Genomic DNA, 27,125 nt, shown 5'->3' on the forward strand with positions numbered 1-27,125 from the left:
TAGTTTCAGGTCTTAAACTTAAATCTTTAATTTATTTAGAGTTGATTTTATATATCGTGAGAGATAAGGGTATAGTTTTTTCTTCTTCTGCATGTGGCTATCCAGTAATCCCAGCACCATTTGTTGAAGACATTTTGTTTTTCCTCAGTGTGTTTTTGACGCTTTTGTCAAAAATCAATTGGGTGTAAAAACATGGATTTATTTCTGGCTTCTGTATTTTGTTCCATTTGTCTATATGTCTGTTTTTATGCCAGCATTATCCTATTTTGCTTACTAGAGCTTTGTAGTATATTTTGAAGTCAAGAAATGTGATACCTTCAGCTTTGTTCTTATTGCTCAAGATTACTTTGGCTATCTGGGATATTTTGCATTTCCTATACATTTTAAGGATGCTTTTTCTATTTCTGTAAAGGATTTCATGAGTATTCTGATAGAGATTATATTGAATCTGTGTATCACTTTGGGTAGTACAGACTTTTTGACAATACTGATTGTTTCAAGTTATGAATATGATATGTTTTCATTTATTTGTGTCCTCTTCAATTTCTTCAATCATTGTTTTACAGTTTTCAATTGTAGAGATTTGTCTCCTTGATTACATTTTCCAAGGCATTTTATTTATTTATGTTGTGCAATTATGCAAAATGGAATTACTTTCCTAATCTGTCTTTCAAATAGTTTGTTATTGGCATATAGAAATATTACTAATGTTTGGAGGAAGGATGTTCCAAGATGGCCAAATATGAATAGCTCCAGTCTAAAGCTCCCAGCATGAGTGACTCAGAAGATGGGTGATTTCTGCATTTCCACCTGAGGTATCAGGTTCATCTCACTGGGGCTTGTCAGACAGTGGGTGCAGCCCATGGAGTGGGAGCCAAAGTAGGGTGGGGCATCCCTTCACCCAGGAAGCGCAAGGGGTCAGGGAATTCCCTTTCCTAGCCAAGGGAAGCCATGACAGATGGTACCTGGAAAACCCGGATTCCCACCCTAATACTGCGCTTTTCCAACAGTCTTAGGAAATGGCACACCAGGAGATTATATCCCTTGCCTGGCTCAGAGGGTCCCATGCCCACAGAGCCTTGCTCACTGCTAGCACAGCAGTCTGAGATCAAACTGCAAGATGGCAGTGAGGCTGGGGGTGGGGCATCTGCCATTGTTGAGGCTTGAGTAGGTAAACAAAGCTGCCAGGAAACTCGAACTGGGTGGAGCCCACCACAGCTCAAGGAGGCCTGCCTGCATCTGTAGACTCCACCTCTGGGGTCAGGGAATAGCTGAACAAAAGGCAGCAGAAACTTCTGCAGACTTAAACATGCCTGTCTTACAGCTTTGAAGAGAGTAGTGGTCCTCCTACCATGGAGTTTGAGATCTGAGAACGGACAGACTGCCTCCTCAGTGTGGGTTCCTGACCCCTGAGGAGCCAAACTTGGAGGCATCTCCCAGTAGGGGCCGATTGACACCTCATAAGGCTGGGTGCCCCTCAGAGATGAAGCTTTCAGAGGAAGGATCAGGCAGCAACATTTTCCGTTCTGCAATATTTGCTGTTCTGCAACCTCTGCTGATGATCACCAAGTGAACAGGGTCTGGAGTGGACTTCCAGCAAACTCCAATAGACCTGCAGCTGAGGGTCCTGACTGTTAGAAGGAAAACTAACAAACAGAAAGGACATCCACACCAAAACCCCATCTGTACATCACCATCATCAAAGACTAAAGGTTGATAAAACCACAAAATGGGGAGAAACCAGAGCAGAAAATCTAAAAATTCTGAAGATCAGAGTGCCTCTTTTCCTCCAAAGGAACACAGCTCCTCACCAGCAGCGGAACGAAGCTGGGTGGAGAATGACTTTCACAAGTTGAGAGAAAAAGGCTTCAGACGATCAGTAACAACAAACTTCTCCGAGCTAAAGGAGGATGTTTGAACCCATCTCAAAGGAGCTAAAAACCTTGAAAAAAGATTAGACGAATAGCCAACTAGAATAAACAGCATAGAGAAGACCTTAAATGACCTAATGAAGCTGAAAACCATGGCATGAGAACTACATGATGCATGCACAAGCTTCAGTAGCTGATTTGATCAAGTGGAAGAAAGGGTATCAGTGAATGAAGATCAAATGAATGAAATGAAGCAAGAAGAGAAGTTTAGAGAAAAAAGAGTAAAAAGAAACAAACAAAGCCTCCAAGATATATGGGGCTATGTGAAAAGACCAAATCTACATCTGATTAGTGTACCTGAAAGTGATGGGGATAATGGATCCAAGTTGGAAAACACTCTTCAGGATATCATCCAGGAGAACTTCCCCAACCTAGCAAGGCAGGCCAACATTCAAATTCAGGAAATACAGAGAATGCCACAAACATACTCCTCGAAAAGAGCAACTCCAAGACACATAATTGTCAGATTCACCAATGCTGAAATGAAGGAAAAAATGTTAAGGGCAGCCAGAGAGAAAGGTCAGGTTACTCACAAAGAGAAGCCCATCAGACTAACAGCAGATTTCTCAGCAGAAACTCTACAAGCGAGAAGAGAGTGGGGGCCAATATTCAACATTCTTAAAGAAAAGAATTTTCAACCCAGAATTTCATATCCAGCCATACTAAGATTCATAAGTGATGGAGAAATAAAATACTTTATAGAAACAAATGGTGAGAGATTTTGTCACCACCAGGCCTAGATCGCTAGCAAGACTGATACAGAAGAAAAGAGAGAAGAATCAAATAGACACAATAAAAAATGATAAAGAGACTGTCACCACCAATCCCACATTAATACAAACTGCAATCAAAGAATACTATAAACATCTCTAAGCAAATAAACTAGAAAATCTAGAAGAAATGGATAAATTCCTGGACACATACACCCTGCCAAGACTAAACCAGGAAGAAGTGGGATAGCTGAATAGACCAATAGCAGGCTCTGAAATTGAGGCAATAATTAGTAGTCTAACAACCAAAAAAGTCCGGGACCAGATGGACTCCCAGCCAAATTCTACCAGAGGCACAAAGAGGAGCTGGTACCATTCCTTCTGAAACTATTACAATCAATAGAAAAAGAGGGAATCCTCCCTAACTCATTTTGTGAGACCAGCATCATCCTGATACCAAAGCCTGGCAGAGATACAACAAAAAAGATAATTTTAGACCAATATCCCTGATGAACATCAATGCAAAAATCCACAATAAAATACTGGCAAACAGAACCCAGCAGCACATCAAAAAGCTTATCCATAATGATCAAGTTGGCTTCATCCATGGGATGCAAAGCTGGATCAACATACAGAAATCAATAAATGTAATCCATGATATAAAAAGAAGCATAGACAAAAACCACATGATTATCTCAATAGACGCAGAAAAGGCTTTCGACAAAATTCAAAAGCCCTTCATGCTAAAAACTCTCAATAAACTGGGTATTGATGGGATGTATCTCCAAATAATAAGAGCTATTTATGACAAACCCACAGCCAATATCATACTGAATGGGCAAAAACTGGATGCATTCCCTTGGAAAACTGGCACAAGACAGGGATGGCCTCTCTCACCACTCCTATTCAACATAGTGTTGGAAGTTCTGGCCAGGGAAGTCAGGCAGGAGAAAGAAATAAAGACTATTCAATTAGGAAAAGAGGAAGTCAAATTGTTCCTATTTGTAGATGACACGATTGTATATTTAGAACACCCCATCGTCTCAGCCCAAAATCTCCTTAAGCTGATAAGCAACTTCAGCAAAGTCTCAGGATACAAAATTAATGTGCAAAAATCACAAGCATTCCTACACACTAGTAACAGACAAACAGAGAGCCAAGTCATGAGTGAACTCCAATTCACAATTGCTTTAAAGAGAATAAAATACTTAGGAATCCAACTTACAAGGCATGTGAAGGATCTCTTCAAGTAGAACTACAACCCACTGCTCAGTGAAATAAAAGAGGACACAAACAAATGGAAGAACATTCCATGCTCATGGATGGGAAAAATCAATATCGTGAAAATGGCCATAGTGACCAAGGTAATTTATAGATTCAATGCCATCCCCATCAAGCTACCAATGACTTTCTTCACAGAATTGGAAAAGCTACTTTAAAGTTCATATGGAACCAAAAAAGAGCCCGCATTGCCAAGACAATCCTAAGCCAAAAGAACAAAGCTGGAGGCATCACGCTACCTGACTTCAAACTTTACTACAAGGCTACAGTAACCAAAACAGCATTGTACTGGTACCAAAACAGAGATATATAGATCAATGGAACAGAACAGAGCCCTCAGAAATAATACCACACATCTACCACCGTCTGATCTTTGACAAAACTGATAAAAACACGAAATGGGGAAAGATTCCCTATTTAATAAATGGTGCTGGGAAAACTGGCTAGCCATATGTTGAAAGCTGAAACTGGATCCCTTCCTTACACCTTATACAAAAGTCAATTCAAGATGGATTAAAGACTTAAATCTTAGACCTAAAACCATAAAAACCCAAAAGAAAACCTAGGCAATACCATTCAAGCCATAGGCATGGGCAAGGACTTCATGACTAAAACACCAAAAGCAATGGTAACAAAAGCCAAAATTGACAAATGGGATCTAATTAAACTAAAGAGCTCCTGCACAGCAAAAGAAACTACCATCAGAGTGAACAGACAACCTACAGAATGGGAGAGAATTTTTACAATCTACCCATCTGACAAAGGGCTAATATCCAGAATCTACAAAGAACTTAAAACACATTTAGAGGAAAAAATCAAACAACCTCATTAAAAAGTGGGCAAAAGATATGAACAGACACTTCTCAAAAGAAGACATTCATGAGCCAACAGACACATGAAAAAATGCTCATCATCACTGGCCATCAGAGAAATGCAAATCAAAATCACAATGAGATACCATCTCACACCCATTAGAATGGCAATCATTAAAAAGTCAGGAAACAACAGGTGCTGGAGAGGATGTGGAGAAATAGGAACACTTTTACACTGTTGGTGGGACTGTAAACTAGTTCAACCATTGTGGAAGACAGTGTGGTGATTCCTCAAGGATATAGAATCAGAAATATCATTGGACCCAGCCATCCCATTACTGGGTATATACCCAAAGGATTATAAATTATGCTGCTATAAAGACACATGCTCACGTATGTTTATTGCAGCACGGTTCACAATAGCAGACTTGGAACCAACCCAAATGTCCACCAATGATTGACTGGATTAAGAAAATGTGGCACATATACACCATGGAACACTATGCAGCCATAAAAAATAATGAGTTAATATCCTTTGTAGGGACATGGATGAAGCTGGAAAGCATCATTCTCAGCAAACTATCGCAAGGTCAGAAAAGCAAACACTGTATGTTCTCACTCATAGGTGGGAATTGAACAATGGGAACACATGGACACAGGGTGGGGAACATCACACACTGGGTCCTGTTGTGGGGTGTGGGGAAGGGTAGGGATAACATTAGGAGATATACCTAACGTAAATGACGAGTTAATGGGTGCAGCACACCAACATGGCACATGTATACATATGTAACAAACCTGCACATTGTGCACATGTACCCTAGAACTTAAAGTATAATAAAAAAAGAAATATTACTGATGTTTATATGTTAATTTTTTTAACCTGCAACTATACTAAATTCATTTATTCTACCTGCTTTTTTGGTGGAGTCTTTAGGGATATATATATATATTTTAAATATTTATATATATTTTATATATATATATATATATATATATATATGTCAGTGAAAATAGGGAGAATTTGACTTCCTTCTTTTCAGTTTAGATGTCCTTTATTTTTTCTTTATTTTTTGAAGCTATGCTAAATGAAATTACTTTCTTAATTTGTCTTTCAGATAGTTTGTTATTGGCATATAGAAATATTACTAATGTTTGTATGTTAATTTTTTAACCTGCAACTTGACTAAATTCATTTATTCTAACAGCTTTTTGTGGAGTCTTTAGGGATGTATATACGTATATATTTACATATATATTTATTTTATATGTATATATATTCATGCCATCTGAAAATAGGGATAATCTGACTTTTTTCTTTCCAGTTTTGATGTCCTTTATTTCTTTCTCTTGCTTAATCACTGTAGGTAGAATTTCCAGTATTATGTTGAATGAAAGTGATAAAAGTGGACATTCTTGACTTGTTCCAGATCTTAGAAGAAAAGCTTTCAACTTTTAGCTGTGGGCTGATCATATGTAGCCTTTACTGTGTTGAGGTTTGTTCCTTCTGTACCCAGTTTGTTGAGAGTTTTTATCATGAAGGAATGCTGAATTTTATTGAATTCTTTTTCAGCATATATTGAAATAATCACATGGATTTTGTCCTTGATTCTGATAATGTGATGTATCAGTTATTGATTTACATATGCTGAACTCTGTTTCCCTGAGATGGAATTCCACGTAATCATGGTGAATGATCTTTTAAGTGTGTTGAATTTGATTTACTAGTATTTTATTGAGGATTTTTGCTTTTATGTTAATCAGAGATATCGCCCTATGGTTCTCTTTGTTGTATCTTTGTCCGGTTTTAGTATCAGAGTAACGCTAGCTTCATAGAAAGAGTCTGGAAGTGTTTCCTCCTCTTCATATTCTTATAATAGCTTGAATATAATTGATATTAGTTGTTTTTAAATGTTTAGTATAGTTCAGCAGTGAAGCCATGAGGTTCTAGGCTTTTCTTTGATATCAGACTCTTTATTACTGCTTTGATCTAGTTGCTTATTACTGGTCTGTTCAGGCGTTCCACTTCTTTGTGATTCAATCTTCGTAAATTGCATGTGCCTGGGATTTAATCCATTTCTTCCAGGTTTTCCAATTTGTTAGAGTATGGTTGTTCCTAGTGGTGTCTTATTATCCTTTTTATTTTTGTGGTATCAATTGTAATGTCTGTTTTTGTGTCTCTGACATTATTTCAATTTTCTGGGTTTTTTTAAACTAGAAGTTTGTCAGTGTTATCTTTTCAAAAAAACAGTTTTTGTTTTGTTCAACTGTTGTATATTTTTTCTCTGTTTTGTTTATTTCTGCTCGGATCTTCCTGGGTTTCTTTTTTGTTCCTTATAGTTATTTCAAATTCAGATTGTTTTGTTTTTCTTGTTCCTAGATATGTAATGTTAGGTTGTTTATTTGAGATCTTTTGTCTTTTGATGTAGGCATTAATTGCTGCGAACTTCCTTCTTAGAACTGCTTCTACTGTATCTCATAGGTGTTTGTATGATATTTATCCATATTATTGTTTTCTACATATTATAGTATCACATCTGTTTCCTATCAGTATACAAACTTTATCTGAAATGTATTTATTTACAAATTGTGCTGACGCTTTCTTCACTTTCTATTTATATGTGAATCAGGGAAAACAGTCTGCAAAATAACTGTGTTTTGGACATTTTAGTGTTTTTTTGTGTGTGTGCCGATACACTATCTGTAGATTTTTCCCCACAGACATCCAAATAAATGTGGCATAAATAGATGACAGATCAGTAGACACATAGGTAAGTAGGTATATAGTTATGCAATTTCTCGATACTCTTAAGTTTTTTCCGTGGAATTCATTCACTTTCAAAGGAGTGATATTTAACTCTTTCCATAACTACACGTTTAACAGGTTATCATGGTATTTCTATTAGTTTTATTTTGCATGTTTTGTTGCTATGATATTTGTTGTCTCACAGAAGTGAGCCTTTTGTTATTTAATGATGTTACTTTTTATATTTCTTCACAATTTTGAAATGAAATTTCAATTTATGTGCCATTAATATTGGAATCTCTTCGTCCTTTTCTTTCATTTTATTGGTGAATCTTTAGTGGGTTTATTTTTATGTTTTTCTCTCTTTTTAAAATAAGCTATTATTGTTCTTGTCTCACTTTCCAGATGGTAGTGCTGCTTTGAGAACTCAGGTGAAGGCCTGATTTTCCTTTTTTAATAGATTTTTTTAAATCTTGACACATATGACAGTATTATATTCATGTTAGAATTCAGGAATTCTACAAGTATATGACCAATCATTTTATATATCCAACTCAGGAAGACCCTTTAAAACACAGGATCAATCCTCTTTGCAGCTCATGAATGAAAAAGTTTTCTTAGACATTTATCATTCTTAAGTCTAGAAAATCTCAGAACTGTAGTTTAATGTCAATATGCGTTTTTAAGCAAAAAAGACAAAGATAAACTAAATTATGCATTGCAGTTTTTGAAAAGTTTAGGGATGACAGTTGTGACTTAATTCTTTCAGATGGAGTGCCAAGTAAGATAAGCAAGAGAATACTAAGGACAAATATAAAGATGAAGTGAGAAAAAATCAAAAACCATGCAAATTTTTTTCATAATATATTGTCTAGGGTTTAGGAAGAAAATTCAGATTTTCTTCACTTTTGTTAACTAGTCTTCTAAATATAGACCATGAATTTAGTATTAAATAAATCCAGTTTATGTTATATAATTAAGAAAAGGTGAATATGACAACATGTAATTATTATCTGAAGAACATGAAGGAAATTCAAAGGTTTACCATATACGCAAAGAAAAGATGTGCATTCTAAGCTTGATTTTTGAGATGTCAAATAATTTTTCAATCCAACTGGAAATACAACTGGATGGATAGATAGTAGATAGATAGATAATAGATAGGTAGATAGATAGATAGATTCATAGATAGATTTATAGTTGGTATGGGGAGAAGGATTTTGGAAGATTCTAAGCTTAAAAAAGTAAGTTTGGAGTGATTTGGTTCATATTTATCTTCATTAAGATTGTAATTATCTGGTTAAATTACTTAATCGATTTGACAGACTTAAAGTATACCCGCACACACAAAATTGAGATTGTTTATTTTATGAAAAATGTTCACAAAGTGGAATTTTTTTTCTGAAGCAATTGTATTTTGTCAGGTTTTCACTGAATTATTTTTTACTCATTCAGATACATTTGACAGCTTATGACAAAACCAATGCAGAATCCTTAAAAATCATCAAACTGATGCTATTTTTAGTTAGTCATTTTTTAAAAATTTATATGATTCTCATTCAGCTCATAATTAAATTTTATTCTCAAATGCTACCTCAGACCTTGTACACTGATTACTCATTACTGCAAAAATTACATCTGAAGTATGATAATTTTTTCTGTAATGATTTAGTTACTTAATTTTTAAAAGCATAAATGTACCTGACCTATGTAAATCTTCTGGGTGTTCCAAATCCTTTTGCCTCAGTTAATAGTATGATTTTAAGTAGTATTCATGAATGTAGTGTATGTGTGTATGTACATAGAAAGAGAGAGAGAGATGATAAATAGAATTATTTTAATATGATAAATGCATTCTAGATATTCTTTATATTCCTTTATATTCTCATATTTTATTTTGGAAAAAATATATATATTTTACACATATCTCAAAGTGCCAGTATTTGTGAATATATTTTTACATGTGTATGATAAATATGTTTAGATTACTTTTTCATTCCAAATCAATTACTCACATTTTAAACAAAGCAGGAAATTAAAGTTCTTATTGCTAAAAAATAAAACTAAACACAAATATTTTTAAAAATAATGCAATAAGTAGGATCTATAATTCTGGAGAAAACAAGTCCAAGTAGTGAAATAATCATCTAACCTAATGATGGTAATGTGTATATATATATATATATATATATAAAATATATGTAATATATAATATATATATAATGTGTATATATATACACACACACATACACACATATATATGTGTAAATTCTAAAATGTGATTTCTCTTTATTCTATGTTAATTCATAGTTATTGTATATATTACATATTTAATATTACATATTTAAAAATTAAACTACATACTTTTAAACATTTTAATCTGATTTTTAAATTTGTATTTATTCTAAAGATTGTGTCTTTTTTCTATGGTATCCAGTGATTGTTTTACGTCTACATTTTTGGGAACCTCATCTGGTTATAATAACATCTTTCGGAACAATTGTGAATACCCTCTGTTAAGCTTGTTTGTGACATTCAGAAATACCAACTTTGACCTTGTAATGAGGATAGCTTTGTGTTAATTTGAATAAACGTTATCAGCAGAAAAATCACTAGTGCTCTGTATTCTAAACACAGAACTTAGTTCTGTATTGGCAATTATATAGTCTCAGCAAATCTTTCATGGACTTCAAAACATTACCAAATATTGAGACTGATGGACAAAACTTCAAATTCCAGCTTTGTAATTTTCCACATATGTGCTTTATTTGATCCCAATAACTGTCAGTGTTATTTATTGTATATACTGGTCACTGCAAACAATTGCACCAAGTTTGCAAGACTGTTTTTAAAATTAAATGAGTATTCTGTATAGAAATAGATCCACAATGCATTGTACCTTGTATTAGTATTAGCGTGTGTTGTTAAGATTACAGTCAGAATTAAATTTAGTGGTAGGGCCTAATCTCAAAATATCTGTGTAGTTATCTTTTTACTTTAACTTGGAGAATTTAGAGCATCAAGTAATCCTTAAGCAATCAAAACTGGCAAAAGAATTCTCCCTCTCTTGCTTTCTCATCCTTGGCAGGTATTTACTTTTATCCAGCGATGTATGCATTCATTAGTTTGAGATAACAGAAAATCTGTTCTCTCAAAATTTGCTTTTCTCTCACAACACGGGGCACCAAATAGAAAAAAGCGTAAAGGAAATCACAGGCCTTCTTTAGTTATCAATGTCTTTTTCTTAACGATAAGACACATACTTAACAAAATTATCATAAGATTACTTTAGATATGATTTGTGAAATATCAGTTTATAGTCTCAGCAAGATTCTTTAAGTATTATTTTACCTTAAATAAGTAAATCTTGTCAGTTTTCTTTTCAAATTACAACAATGATATAGTTTGTGTATTTCTCCCCACCCAAATCTCATGTTGAATTGTAAATCTCTAGTATTCGAGATGAGTCCTCATGAGAGGTGACTGGATCATAGAGGTGGATTTCTCATAAATGGTTTAGCAACATCTCCTTGGTGCTGTCCTTGCCATAGTGAGTTCTCACAAGATCTGCCTATTTTAAAGTGTGTAGCACCTCTGTCTACCTGGCTCCCATCTCTGCTCCTGCTTCATCTTCCATCCCGAGTAAAAGCTTCCTGATTGCTCCCCAGAAGCAGATGCCAACTCTATGCTTCCTGTACAGCCTAGAGAACTTTAAGGCAATTAGAGCTCTTTACTTATAAATGACCTAATCTCAAGTATTTATTTCTTTATAGGAATTCAAGAACGGCTTAACGAAAACAGAAAAACATGCTTGTCCACTTATATAAGGTATATAAAATAGTCAAACTTAGAGTCAGAGAGTAGAATGGTGGTTACCAGAGTCTGGGAGAGAAGAAAATAAGAAATTGCTAATCGATGGCTATGAAGTATCATTTATCTAAGATGCATAAATTCTAGAGATTTACTGTAATACATTGTCCCCATAGTTAACAATAATGTATTGTACACTTAAAAGTTTGCAAAGCTATTATTTTCCTAAAGATTACCACTTGCCTCACACAATATGAGGTAGTCAGTTTGGCAAACTGTGTATCCTGCCATATACTCCTATATCTTTCCACTTATTTGTGCGTATTTGTACAAGTGTCTGTATAGATACACACCAGCTTACTTTTCTACTTTTATCTAATTGTAAGCATACTGTAAGCCACATGTTTGCAACTTGCTTTGTATCACTACTTGTGTATGTAATGCACTGTTGTTGATGTTGTTTCAGGTTTATGTGTATTTCTGTTACTAAGATTTTATTTTCTGATTCATAAGTGCCATAAGTTTTTATAACATGTATTTTTGAATATTTTGTAATCACTGTTGTGATTTTTTAACTATTTCTTCTTGAGATGCTCATTATTATGATTGGAAAAATCCATTAGTTTTGTATATTTATCTTACGTTCAACTACCTTATCAAATTTTTTGTTGTCATTTTAATCTAGAACTTTTTGAATTTTCTATAAATCAAATTATCAGAAAAAAAGCATGATTTTTTCTTAAGGACATGGTTGAAACATATGTTAATAGCAGACATCCCTGTGTGTTCCTGATTTAAAATAAAAATATTTGTTTTTCCTATATTAGAGTAAGATTTTCTGTTGCTTTTTCATAAATACTTTTTATCACATTTAAGAAATATTTTTGTTTTCATTTATCTTTACATGTTTAAAATTAGTAATGGCTGTTGAATTTTTCTAAACAATTTTTATAGTTTCTACCATGATTATAAGTTTTCTCTCTTAATTTTTATACAATAAAATATTTTATGTGTATGAATGCAAAAGTTTACAGAATCAATAAAGGTTAGTAAAATTTTTCTGTAGTATATAAATTTACAAAACTTCTGTTACCTATGAATGTGTGTGTGTGTGTGTGTGTGTGTAGTCTTAATTTCTTTTGCTCCTCTTTTTTAAACCAGAAAATTATGTCTTTGGAATTTTTATCAAATACTTTTCCTAAAACATTATTTTATTTATGTTTCCAGAAAACTATTTGAAAACATGCAGCTAAAAATATTCAGTTAAATTTCTAGTTGTATTTGCTTTTTATCAATTCCTTTGCAATTAAGTTATTTTAAAATATATACTCTTAAAGTGTGAACCCTTTTTTATCCCAATAACTATTAGATTAGTTAATTCAATTTTGGTGACATCAATTATTTGAATGATTAGTGAGCTTTTTGGGTGAGCATTGTGATTTTAAACTATTCATTAATACAAAAACATAAGTGAATGATGCTGACATAATTTACTTCTATGGTAATTGTAGTTGTTTATTTTGTGTCTTTAGTCTTGCTGTTATGTAACATTATAAAGAACTGGAGTTTACAAATTTGAAATGCTGGAAACATATACAGCATAGAAATGGCCTTTTGTTATCATACAATTTAATGATAATTATGTACTTGGCCCTAGTTGGTATGGTTTACATATGCCATGAATTAATTTCTATATAATCCAACAACTTGACCAACACTCAGTTATTACATCTTTCTTACTTAAATAGGAAAAAATGTTATGCTTACACATTAATACAGAAAAAAATTCATATGCCAAAAATAGAATGCTTAAATAATCAGTTTTCATTTTCATGATAATATTGGATAAATATATGTAAATTAAAAATTTATGAAATTATAAGAGCTACTTGAATATATTATAAATTGATTGACTAAAATAATTTCTGACACATACAAAATAATCAAATAAAATGAATATAAGGTCCATGAAGTCAGAGTGCTTTCTTTCTTTTCACTATGGCTGCACTCCCATTACCTAGTATGACATCTGACCCATAATTGTTTGTTCAATGAATGAATCTATAAATAAATATGAGCTACATCCTCATTCATAAAAAGATTGAATGAATAGAAAATCAAATTGAATGTCTGGATTTAGAAAGAATTTTTAAGGAACATTTTCAATGATATCATTATAGAAAGTCTGTAGTAGGTTTTGTAGTGTTTTCCTGTTACATGTCAATAATTTAGATTAATGAACTGAGCCAAACACAAATTTTATTGCAGTCCTAATGTATTTTATTATCTTAAATTTACTTTTTATTCATTAGATATAGTAAGAACTGTTATTCAGATTTAATTTCTTTACAATTTGATATGATCTTCTTACATTACTCAGGAGTCCTAGACTTTTCTACAATATAGTAATTAGTCCCCACCTAAATCACACCTTGAATTGTAACAATCCCCATGTGTCAAGGGTGGGGAAAGGTGGAGATAACTGAATCATGGGGGTGGTTTTCTCCATACTGTTCTCATGGTAGTGATTAAGTCTTATGAGATCTTTTGGTTTTATAAATGGGAGTTTTCCCTGGACAAGAGTTCTTGCCTCCCGTCACGTAAAATATGCCTTTGCTCCTCTTTCACCTTTGCCATGATTTTAAGGCCTCCTCGGCTATATAGAACTGTGAGTCCATTAAACTTTTTTCCTTTATAAATGACCCAATCTTTGGTATGTCTTTATTAGCAGCATGAGAATGGACTAATACAATTGGCATGAAGATTTAGATATAGATACAAATAAATAGATACAGCGCTTGGCTTTCACTATTAAAGCACTGTATCTCAACTACTTTCAGATACCTTGATAATTCCATTTATATCTAGTAACTTTCAAAATTATGTACTTTGAAGACTGGCAAAATAAGTAATAATTGATACAATTAATTAAATATGAGCTACTGCTATGGTTTGAATATTCCTCCAAAACTCATGTTGAAACTGAATCCCCAATGTGACAGTATTGAGAGGTGGGGCTTTTAAGAGGTGACTGAAACACAGGGTTCTGAAACTGTCCCCCCAAAAAACCTTAAAAAATTGATAAAGGGGAAAAAAACAAGATTAACCAGGCTTGCAGCATAATTAGCAGTAACCATTAAGCCAGCTCTCCCTTTGAACCAGTTTCTTGTAGCTGGTAGTTGCTTACTACCCTAGGAAAACAGCCCTTGTCACAAGATTCCTTCTTCTTTTTCTGTTCCATACATAAAATCTAAGATGTTGTGAGATGAATAGTTTTCCATTGAGTTTCTCTTTAGGTTTTGTATACCTATAAATTTACCCATGCCAGCTGATCTGAAGAGCCCAGAAGAAAAGTGACTCATGGAAGAATGTAGCATCCACATCCTGATGATTTCATCCCCTCTACCATGACCAATCGACAACCCCAATTTTCCAGCCCCTTGCCCTGAATGGTCCCCTTAAACACTCTTGCTCAGAAAGCATAAGAATGATATAATGGACTTTGGAGATAGGGGGTATGGTGGGAAGAAAGTGAGTAATAAAAGACTATATACTATGTACAGTGTACACTGCTCAGGTGACAGGTGCACCAAAATCTCAGGAATCATGACTAAATAACATCTATGTAACCAAAAACCACCTGTATGCCAAAATCTGTTGAAATTTTAAATTAAAAAAATTCTTGTCCAGAACCTGTTAGCAAAATGGATTTGAGGCTTGAGAATTGTTCCCATTTCCTTGTTTGGCACCTTGTGATCATTAAACTCTTTCTCTACAGCAAACTCCACTATCAGTGTATTAATCTGTTGCTACACAGCAAGCATATGAACTTGGCATCCCTGATACAGTTCTGACCTCATGAACTAATTAATCCATCAATTGGTTAATGGAAAAATTGGTTCATAGAATAATGGGTCATCACGGAGATGAACTGGTAGCATTATAAGAAGAGAATGAGAGTGCTTAACCAATATATGAGCACACCCAGCCCCCTTGCCATGGGATGCCCTGTGCTGCCTTGGGACTCCGTAAGAGTCTCTGCAAGCAAGAAGACTATCACCAGATGTGGCCCTGTGACCGTGGACTTCTCAGCCTTCATAACTGTATGAAATACACTCTTTTCTTTATAAATTATCCAGTTCTAGGTTTTCTATTATAATCAACAAAAATGGACTAAGATAGCCACTATATCTCATATAAAAACACAAAACATGTCTCAGACATTTTACATGTATGTAATATTGTCTCATTAGCAACACAAAATTCTCTAATATAGACACTGTATCCCTTTACTCATAGAGTAAAATACAAACACATGCACTTCTGCATCCATAGCAACTTGATTCCCATGGTCATATAGCTAATGTTACTCTACTGTAACTAATGAAAAACTAATAATAACTTGAACAATTAATATAATTTTGGAATTATGCTAAGTGTTTTAACTCTCACTGTCTCAACTTCTCAATTAATGTTAATATAAACTCAGGTGTTATTTAACTCCATTGTTCCTGGTCTTAACAATTGAGCTGCTGTATGCCACAGGCAGAATTACAGCCTCGCTCTTTTGACTGTAAAGTTCATACTTGTTTCAGGATACAGGATAGATTTAAACATCCTGTTCATGACCTCACACTTAGATGTCATGTGTGAAATCCAAAAGTACAACTGGATAAGATATTATAGAAATTACATGTTTTATATTCAATTGCATAGAGCAATTAATTTAAAATACCTACATGAATAATTATTTACTCACATTAATAAATTCTAAGACCTAGATGTTAATTCAGGTTTAAATAAGTCTGTTAGGTTATTCAGCATATGTATGTTTCTTTTATTTATATTTTGTCTTGGGGAAAACTATCATTATTTCCTTTCATAAATACTTTTGAGTTTCTTTTTTCTGGTTGAATAACACAAAAGAATAAATGTAAGCTTTGCTAGTGTAATGATTCTATTATCTTGTTTTAGTTTAAGTGCAAATTTCATAAAAGGCTCTTCCTAGGAAAATAAAATTAATCACTCCTATTAATCTCTGGAAATTAAAGATCTTCAAGAAGAGAGTAAAAATTGTGGAGCTCATAAGAAAGTTTGAAATTCACTTCAAATGTAATTCTCTTAAAAATAACTTATTTCATTTGATAGGTTAATATTATTATGGGTTTCCTTGACTTACAATATAATATTTATCCTTCATACACATTTTTCTACCTACTTATTTAACAAAACTGAGTTATAATACAGGAAAAAATATTTTTAAATATTTTACCAAGAATGCTTGAAAATGTGATTCAAATGTTTGAATGTTTCTTGTGAAAACAGTTCTTATTTGGGTGTGAGGATATAGCTTTTGATTGCTAATAACTCATCTTTATATGCCAATTGCTTTGCAGTCTAAAATTATGACAGATTTTTTTTAGTAAAAAATCATCTGGCAAAATGTAGATTCACCATTTTAAACACACGCACACACACACACACACACACACACACATATACACACACACACACAACAAAATTGCATGTTTCTCCCAGAAAATACAAACCATGTTCACAGTGGAAATCATAATTCAAATCATGTTGGCTATTTGTCTAGTGGAAAAAAAAATCAAAGATAGAAAAACTCTTGACGCACTACTTGAACACTATAAGTAAATTTGATGAAAAAAGCAACAGGTTTGTATCCCGGTGAGTATATCAGAGACACCTGGGGAAATTTTTCAAAAGAAATATATCCAAAAACCGATAATGCTTTGGCTTTAGCATGTTATGGAGAAGAACACACACACACACACACACACACACACACACACACACACACACACACACTGGCAGTTTGAAAAACGGAGAAAACAATGCAAGAAAAGGCAAAGAAAGCAAGTTTTTCAATTAAAAAATTAATCTATCGTTCTACGAAAATTGAAATTTTAATAAGTGAAAGGAACTCAGCTGGACATAATGGCAGCTCTGAATGTGACTGCAATTTAGCTCATGTAGTGTTTGAATAGTCAAAATTTCTGGATAAAGTGCTTAGCATTCGTTGCTGATTTATTTCTTTTTTCATAAATGACCTTAATGTGAGAAGAGGCAGTCTAGTGGAAAGGATATGGAGATTGGAGTGTATGGGGTTGAGTTATATCCCTGAAAATCTTGGACAAACTGTAGCTTCTCTGTTTATATTTTCCCATGTCTCTAACTCCTCTCAGTTCCAGGCTTTGCTAGAGCTGAAACAACAACAAAATCAAAAATCAGCTGGACATTTAATAAAATGCTATCAGCATATACAAAAATTTGATTATAGTGAAAGAACTTCAGTCAGGTCTTTAGCCTTTGCTTAATCATGAATTAATATGTTGCTCGTTGTACACATCATGACATTTCACCTTTGGGCATCTTAAATTTTGTATTTCTGAAAATTGGGATTTGGAGTAAGTTGATTATACTTAACTAGGAATAAGAACCAAATCACTAATAAAATTTTTCAACATGCCCACCCCACCTCCCTTCTTTCTCAAAAAGTCATAGAGGTTATGTTAATTAATTTGGACTGGGTGGGATTAGGATATACATACACTTTGAAAAAATTCCCCCAGTGTCTCTGATATACTCACTGGGATATGTACCTCTTGACTTCTATAAGGTTCTTTTCAACTCTCAATATTCTATGATGCTGTGGTATTCAAATGGAGCTACAGGAAATTTCTTCTGCCCAAAATGGAGTAACTGTAGCAAGATTTACTCCATCTAAAAAAACTGGAAAAAATTAAACATAAAAATATATGGAAAAACAATTTCAACATATTGTTTATCAGCTAACAAAAGACAGTGATCCCTGAAAGATGGGTTACAGTAAGGTATGACCTAAAATGCTGAAAAACTGCCTAGAATGAGTTTCCAGGCAATATCAAAATGAAGGGGAACTCATAACTTGCAATATATGCAAACATTAATTCAAAATGGATCATAGAACTGAAATATAAAATGTCAAACTAAAAGAGAGATAACTTGTTGTAATATTTGGTTAAGGTAAGAGTTCTTAGAAAAGCACAATCCAAAAAAGAATAATTGATAAGTTGAACTTTCAAAAGATATTTTTAATAAAATGCAAAAATCAAACTAAGAGAACATATTCAAACCAGCTATCTGAAACAGTACTTATAGTTTAAATAACAACACTCAAAATAAAAGAATAAGCAAACATCCTTTTTCCAAAATATGTTAGAAGACATTTCAACAAAGAATGGCAAATAAACATCAGTAAAGACGCCTAACACCATCATATCATTAGAAAAATGCAAAATAAAATCACAACATGATACCACTACACTCTTACTAGAGTGGCTGAAATTTTAAAAGATTGACCTAAGCAAGTGTTGGTGAAAGTGAAAGGTAAATTGAACTTTGATAAACTAGTAGAAATGCAAAATGATAACTTTGAAAAAAAAGTTAGAAGCTTTTTCAATCATTAAACATTTACCTATTATGTGATCCAACGATTTTACTCTGACTTATTTTCCAAAGAAGAATGAAGGCACATTTTCATACAAAGGAATACACATGATGTTCACAGATGTTTCATTTTTAGTAGCAAAAAACTAGAAACACAGAGGTCCAATGACATGGGGATAAATAAACGCATTTTGACCCATTTATATGATGAAATACTGTTAAGAGAATTGAGTGAATTCATGATAGATACAACAAGATGAATAAATTTCAAAAAAATTATATTGAGAGAAATAAGTCAGACAAAAACGTATATGTACTATATTATTAAATTTATGTAAAATTCTAGGAATTGCAACAATTGTATTGTGATGGAAAATAGGTCAGTGGTTGCCTGGGTAGGAAGGATGAAAAGGAAAGATTAAAAAATTACAAAAAGGCATGAGAAAACGTTAGGGTATATTCTCTATGTTGAACATGCTCTCTGTCTTGATTGTGGTGATGGCTTCATGAGCAAATACATATTTCAAGATATCAAATTATATACCTCCGTATGCTAATATTTTGGAATATATTCAGAAATAGTATAATATTCACCTTCATGTAAACTGTTAAATAATGTAAGATTTTCACTCCTGTAAATTTTTATCATTTTATCATTTTGTATACTCTAATATGCTATATATGTAATACATAACATGATATACAAACATATGCAAAGAATATGTATATACACATATATATCTAGTAAGAAATTATATGTATATGTATGTCATTTACTATTTTTGTCTCAAGATTCAGGATTTTACAAGGGCTAAATATTGCCCATAGTATTAAGGATAAATTCCTCCACTTAGCTTTTCAATTCTTTTGTAGTATGAATTGTTTATGAATGTGTACACTGGTCACTTACATAAGCTAAACACATGTCTCCAGAATTCTCTTCATTTGGTAATTCCAGGTTAGCTGGGGTCACAGACCTTTTGTGGATGATTTGCAAGACTGCAGTCAAGCTGCAGTTCATGAATATTGTTACTTATCGGCTGCCTTTCTGGTTGGTGTGGGCAACAGTAGGGACCACACATTTTCCGGTTCCCCAGGTTCCCTCTTAAGCTTCCTCAACAACTAGGCCAATGTTTAACTCCTTAACGAAGGATGCCAATTGCCCCCACAAAGCCACCCATCACTATTTAGAGGTATTGAAAGACCCCTTCAGGTTGCAGGTCATCATCATGTGTTCTAACTTAGCCTTCTAAGGCATATCCTTGCTCTCCCGGATTCCTTTTTGTCTTCCCATCCCACAGCCTCCCCTGAGGACTACAGGTTCTAGAACTGGACTCAGAAACAACAGCCTCATGGAGACTGTTTCACCAACTCCCAAATTACTTACAGTCAAACCCTTGTGGTTCGGTTTCTCTGGATAGTTAAAGATGCACTGAGGCATTGTTCATTATCCAGTAAGGAATGAGGTCTCTTTCAGTGACGTTAGGCTACAAAAGCTCTACATTCATCATATTCAAACATGCCTTTACACCTCTGCTCAACCTGGTCTCTTTACGTAGAGCCAAGTCATTCTCCTCCATCTCCATGTAAAGGAATCCACTTTGCTTTTTTAAAGAACGTCTTTCAACCTCTTCCTTGAAACTATTATAGCCGCATTTGCTTTATTATTCTATGTAATAGACCTAATATTCAATTTAAATTATTTGGGATTTAGGTATACACTATGTAGTTTGTTTGTCTTCTACATGTGATTGAAAGCTGGAAAAAACTTTTATAATTATTTCTGTAGTGCTATTAGAAACACAGTGTGTAAGTCAATCAAATTATTTTGAGTATGAATACATACATAAATTATATTCCAGGTAAAAATTCATTTTCTACTCTAGAAACCCCTCCCCCCAAAAAAACACACACAAAATGTGATCATTCATATAGGAAAGGTCCCCCAACAGAGTCTGGGAGTGGGAAGAGTGAGTGAAGGTCTTGAAATTATGAGAAAAATAATATTGGAAGAAAAACATATTAAATTTCTATACTTCTTTTAAAATAATTTGAGTATTATATCTTACTATTTAAAAAGTGTAGAGTTAGTGATATTACTTCAAAATTAATTTTAAAGCCAAAGAATCTGAAGTATTATATTGCTGCTCTATTTGTTTCCAGATATGATATTATCTATAGGCAAAGAACTGTAAGAAAGTAGACATCCCTGTCTAATGCAAAACGGAAATCCATTTACTACTGTCCTAATAAACATGCATTAATAAACTTAAATTCCAAAAGTTAATGAAAACGTTTAGATCTAATAGATTTTGTTTTAACTTGAAGGGTCTTCCTGATTTACAAAAAGATTTAAACAAATTTCTACATTCTGGTAGAGCAATTATTGAAAAACTGATAATAACAAACATATTTTCAGACTGGCTTTTGTGTATAATCCATTAGGCAGTTTTACGAGCATTTCTGACACATTTATTCATTTCCTTACCATTAATTTGTGAAACATAGCATGAAATAATAACTATGCTTGAGAGTCAAGAAAAAGAGGAAGACAGAATTCAGAAGAGATAAAATAGGAATTTGAAAATAGAAATTTAAAGATTACATATGAGAAAAAATGCAAAAATAAACATAATGTCCCTGGTATTTCTATTTTATCCCTAAAACATCTTAACTCCCCATATACTTATTTTCCATTTCAGGTGCTGAATTCAGATAGATGTTAGTGGATTGACTGTTAAACGAATTAATCATTCTCTTTCAATTCGTACTGCTGGCAGAAGTTCACTAGTAGCTTATACATGAATTAACGTCTTCATTTTATTTTAATGTATTCTTTTAAGTCATTCACTTTCCTAGACCAGAGTTGAAATTAAAAGGTTTTTTCCCTTAAATTCAAATTGATGGCAACACGAGGCTTAAAACAAATTAAGAAATAATTGATGGTTAGCTTTTTATTTTAAGTCTACTCAAGGTAAATACCTAAAAGATGAAATTCCTGAAGGTAGATAGATTAGAAGAATGAAACAAGATAATGTCAAGGTTTTTAAAAATACAATGTTAAAAGACAAAAGAAACTAAAATGATCATAAGGTATTGTTGTATTTTTCCTGGACTGTAGAAACCACCTCCTAAATGATTCTCTGATTTCTACTGTCACTTTTTAAAATCAATGCATGCACTACTTTTAATGCAAATTTAATGATGCCATTCTCATGTTAAAAAATCACTCAATGGGTTACCTTTGCTTTTGTGATAAATTCCAAAATTCTTATTTTGGCTGGTAAGTCCCTGACAATGTAGAACTTGCCTTATTTCTCATTATTCTTCCTTTAATTATGATCTGTTCTTATGGTTAATAAACTGTTGTCTGTCTTAGAAACTTCATAAAGGATTTCTCTCTCCTCTAGAACTTTTCCACTATCTTGTCTTATGACTATGTAGATAATTCATACCTTAGCACTCAACTTAAACCTCATATCAGAGGAGGCCTCCTCAAATTTTCTGACTTCATTAAGACCCCTGTTATATGCCCTCTGGTCATGCTGTATTTTTCCTATATAGTGGTATTTTATTCTCTACTATAATCATTAACTACATTATTCTTAGTGTTACATTTCCAATATTTAATATAGGGCATATAACGAAGAATGTAGTCAATAAAAGTGTGTTTAATTCACAAATGACACTAATTAAACATTTTGATATCTTTATACCATGTTCCGTTTTAAGTTATACTTGTCCTTTTTATGAGAGAGATTTCTTATAAAGTAAAATATCTTTATTTGAAACTCATTACTGACAACTGGCAGATCGCTATGTAAATTCCTATTGCATATAAATCAGCATCGATGTTTACCTGGGAAAAGATGATTTTCAAGACAAAATAGAGTGAACAAAATGGAAAGCAAATTATGATTGTAAGAATAGATGATGTATCTCTAGTGAAAAATTAATTTCTTCGTGTGTTAACTTTTAGGGAAAAAGTAGCAGGAGTTCCATATGTAGTTGGGTAAAAGTAAATTTTTGTCTTCCAGAAAAAGTTTTTAAACATAATATTAATATGACAAGAATGGAATTAAAACCATCAGTGTCAGAGAAAGTAGCAAGACTGAGGTGGTGGCAGAATTTGGGTCACAATTAATCAAAGCAAGTTAACAAAGGCTAACTGCTGTAAAGAGGAATTACAAATATCAGGGATTTAACAAAATAGTTGTTGATAGTCAAGTTCAGTGTGGATTCCCCTGGTAGAACAACCCTCCTGCAAGTGATGACTCTCGGAATTCCAGTCTCCTTGCTTCCTAAAACTCAGATATGTTCAACCAGTGAATTCTAAGGTTGCTTTGGAAAGGGAAAAATTAGCATGGAAAAACATGGGGCAAATTTGGAAGCAGTATGCATCATCACTTTTGCCCTCTTTCTACTGGTGAAAACTCAACTAAATGGTCCATGTAACATCAAGGACTCTGGAAAGTAGACTTGTTATATACACCCAAGAAAATAAAATATATCTAGCTAGCATGTGCCAGAAAACATTAGGAAAGCTGTAAAAGAAAATGAATAGTTAATTATCTTTAACTATTTTTTAATTTTTTATTTTATTTTATTTTAATTTCTGGAGTACTTGTGCAGAACGTGCAGTCTTGTTACATAGGTACACATGTGTCATGGTGGTTTGCTGCACCCATCAACCCATCACCTACCTTAGGTATTTCTCCTAATGCTATCCCTTCTCTAGCCCCCATACCCTCAGCAGGCTCTGGTGTGTGGTGTTCCCCTCCCTGTGTCCATGTGTTCTCATTGTTCAACTCCCTCTTATGAGTGAGAACATGCCATGTTTGGTTTTCTGTTCTTGTGACATGGATGAAGCTAGAAACCATAATACCCTTAACTATTAAGTTTAGTTAAATGTGAACATTTTATTATGAACTACTTAGAAAATCAGGATTTGATTAAATGGCTTAACACAAATTTGCAAAGATTTCCTCAAGTTACCTACTGATAGATTTCTTTTATAAGTTGTACAAAGCATGGTATTTTTATTGACTTCAAATATTTAGCTGCCTTTAGCTATAATGACTGAGGAATATCAGCTGGCCCCAACTGTTTCCTGCTTCCTGAGGCAAATCTTCTTTATATAGGCAAATATTTGGGTGTCAGTGGCAGAACTAGAATGAGGTCTGGGGAAATAGCATCAAGGGGGTGCTGGAGATTCCTGTCATCAGACTTTGCATCTCATATTTTAAATTCTAATTTTATTTATATTTGTTTAATTTTAACTTTTTTTATACTTAGAATTTTTAAGTCTCTCTTCCTTACTGGGTTATCTTGTAGTTTTAACTTGTATTGAGTTTTATTTGATTTTTATAGTATTCATTTTTATCATATAACTTTTAATAACTTTCTCTTTATTTGTAAATCTATGGTTTTAGATGTAGTCCTTGGTCATAGATACTTCGTATAGATTGCCAACAAACTTATAACTTCAACTGAGAAACAATCCATTTCCTCTGTGGATGATTAGTATTATTATTTATAAATATGAGGAAGAGTTCTAAACCATCTCACTCTCTACAAACTTCCACTTACCAGTGGCCACTAATTGAATAACTTCCCAAATCTTCAGGATTGTTTTCCCTCTGGTATTTTCTTCATGTCCTATCTGAATCTCTCATCTCTCTCTCTCTCTCTCTCTCTCTCTCTCTCTCTCTCATTCTTTCTCTCTCTTTCTCTCATATCTATCTATCTATCTATCTATCTATCTAGCTAGCTAGCTAGCTAGCTAGCCATCCATCCCAACCAAAGGCCTACCAGTAGTTAGCAACCGTCAATCACTTACTAAGCTTTTTCTTATTTATCCAGTGTTTCATCTTAGCCCTCTGTGTTGGTTAATACTGAGTGTCAACTTGATTGGATTGAGGGATACAAAGTAATAATCCTGGGTGTGTCTGTGTGAGTGTTGCCAAAAGAGATTAACATTTGAGTCAGTGGGCTGGGGAAGGCAGATCTACCCTTAATCTGGTGGGCACAATCTAATCAGTTTCCAGGGACTATAAAGCAAGCAGAAAAACATGAAAAGGAGAGACAGGCCTAGTCTCCCAGCCTACATCTTTCTGCCACATGGATGCTTCCTGCCCTGGAACACTGGACTCCAAGTTCTTCAGTTTTGGGACTCCAACTGGGTCTCCTTGCTCCTCAGCTTGCAGACAGCCTACTGTGAGACCTTGTGATCATAAATTAATACTTAATAAACTCCCCTTCATATATATATATATATATATATCCTATTAGTTCTGTCCCTCTAAGAGAACCCTAATACACCCTCCTTGCATTCCCTGAAAATCAACGTATCAGATCTAGGTCTTCTGGTCTGGTGTCTGCTCTGGCTTTTTTCATATTACTAGTATAGACCAATGATCACTTTGACCCAGCCTAGCAGAAAATGAGTTTAGACAATCCATAGAAAATTCCCAAGTGGTCAAGCAAAAAAATACCAACCCCTAGAAAGGACAGATTGTGTTAGGAACAAAGAACATGAGAATATAAAGTAGGAAGAAAAAATGTCAATGAAACCTGGAAACTCAAATCTGAACATTTCTATTGATATTGAAAGAGAAGGAATGAGATAAAGAGATATTAAATTGGATTATACATGTTCACTGCCTGTGTGAATAAAAATATGTGAAAGATCTAAGAAATCTCTTTTTAGTTTATTCACAAAGGAAATTTTATTTTCAAAAAACAATAAAGCAATATAAGAAAGCAAGATTGAGAAGATGTGTCACTGCACAGATAATGCAAAAATTCAACTTCACTAATAAGAGATGAAAAATTCACATTAAAACAAACATGAGATGCTATTATCATCACCACATTGGAAAAATTCACTCTGATATTTTCAGTGCTAAAAAGGGTATTGTCTTACTCTGCTAATGATACTGTAAACTGGCCCAAGGCCATTTATCATAGCTTAATTGAATTAAAAACATGAAAATAATTTAAAATTTAGCTACTTCAATTTTTTCTCAATTTCTATTCTAATAAAATATATATTTGAAGAAAAGGTACAATCATGATTGTTTCAAAGAGAATAGGCAATATTACAAAAATAATTGAAATAATACTATATTTAAAATGTTTTTACAAAAATCATTTAATAGAAATATCAGTGACATAGCATGCAGAAATATATGGTAAAAAATGTTGAATTTTCATTACCATATATCAAGAACAATTACTTGGGTTATGTATTTTTTCTTGTTCACAAAACTAATGTGAACACTAATTGTATTGCTTCTAAGTTATGTAATAATGCATTATATTTCTAATAAAATATCTACATATTTGAAAATACATTTTGAATAAATTTATTATATACATCCAACAATATAGTAAGACAAATTTTTTAACCAATAAATACTTCAAAAATTATGTAACATTAATTACTTTACCTTTCAAATTTTCTTAAAATATTTTAGTTTGGATTTTCAACCTGTAAGGTATAACGTTAAGTGAATTAGCATGTGCTAAATTACTATTCAAGATATATTCTATATATTCTAAATATGTTCTTTGTCTTTACATATAAACTCATGCACAGAAAATATTGAGCAAAATACACATCTAATTGTTAAAGAAAATTACATCTGCAGTGGTATCTTGGACTGGAGATGTTAGTTTTATTCATTTGTGTTTAAGATTTGATTGGGTAATGCAGACAGGAGGTCTAACCTTGAGATTAATATCTGAGATTCCTCAATCAGCATTATTAATCACAACGGAAGGCAAGAGAATGAGAATGCACAGAATGTAGTTATAGAAAGAAAATTTTACTATAGAAAAGATAGAATACAAATATTGGGCAAATACTTAGTCATTCGGTAGAGAATAAAAGTTGTTTTGAGAACTAAGAAGAAAGAGCCTGAGGTATACAAGAAATAAATTCAAAGACAATACTAATATTCTTAGATAGTAGGAGGTATATCTTGGGCATGCTGTCATCTCGGTGTCTGGTATACTAGGCAAATTAACAATAAATATTATTGAAGAGTACATGGAGTTTTAAGAAGACCCTCTTGTGGGGTCTTTCCTTATATGGTTTATATGAATATTTTTATTTAGCCTTTGGATCAATTTCAAAATATTTTATAAATAAAAAATATTTTTATTTACCCTTTGCCTGACTGGGATGACTATGTGTCTGTCTGTGTGTGTGTGTGTAGAGAGAGAGAGAGAGGACAGAGACAGAGAGATAGCCTGGGGTAAATGAAAATCTATTTGATTACTTTTAATACTCAACACCCAAAGTAGAATTGAATTGTCAGTTTCATGACCATACTGCAGATAACACAATATGATGCTTGTTAGGGAAATTCTTATTTGG

The sequence above is a fragment of the Homo sapiens genome, chromosome 4, assembly GCF_000001405.40.
Source record: "Homo sapiens chromosome 4, GRCh38.p14 Primary Assembly".
Taxonomy (NCBI): Eukaryota; Metazoa; Chordata; class Mammalia; order Primates; family Hominidae; genus Homo; species Homo sapiens.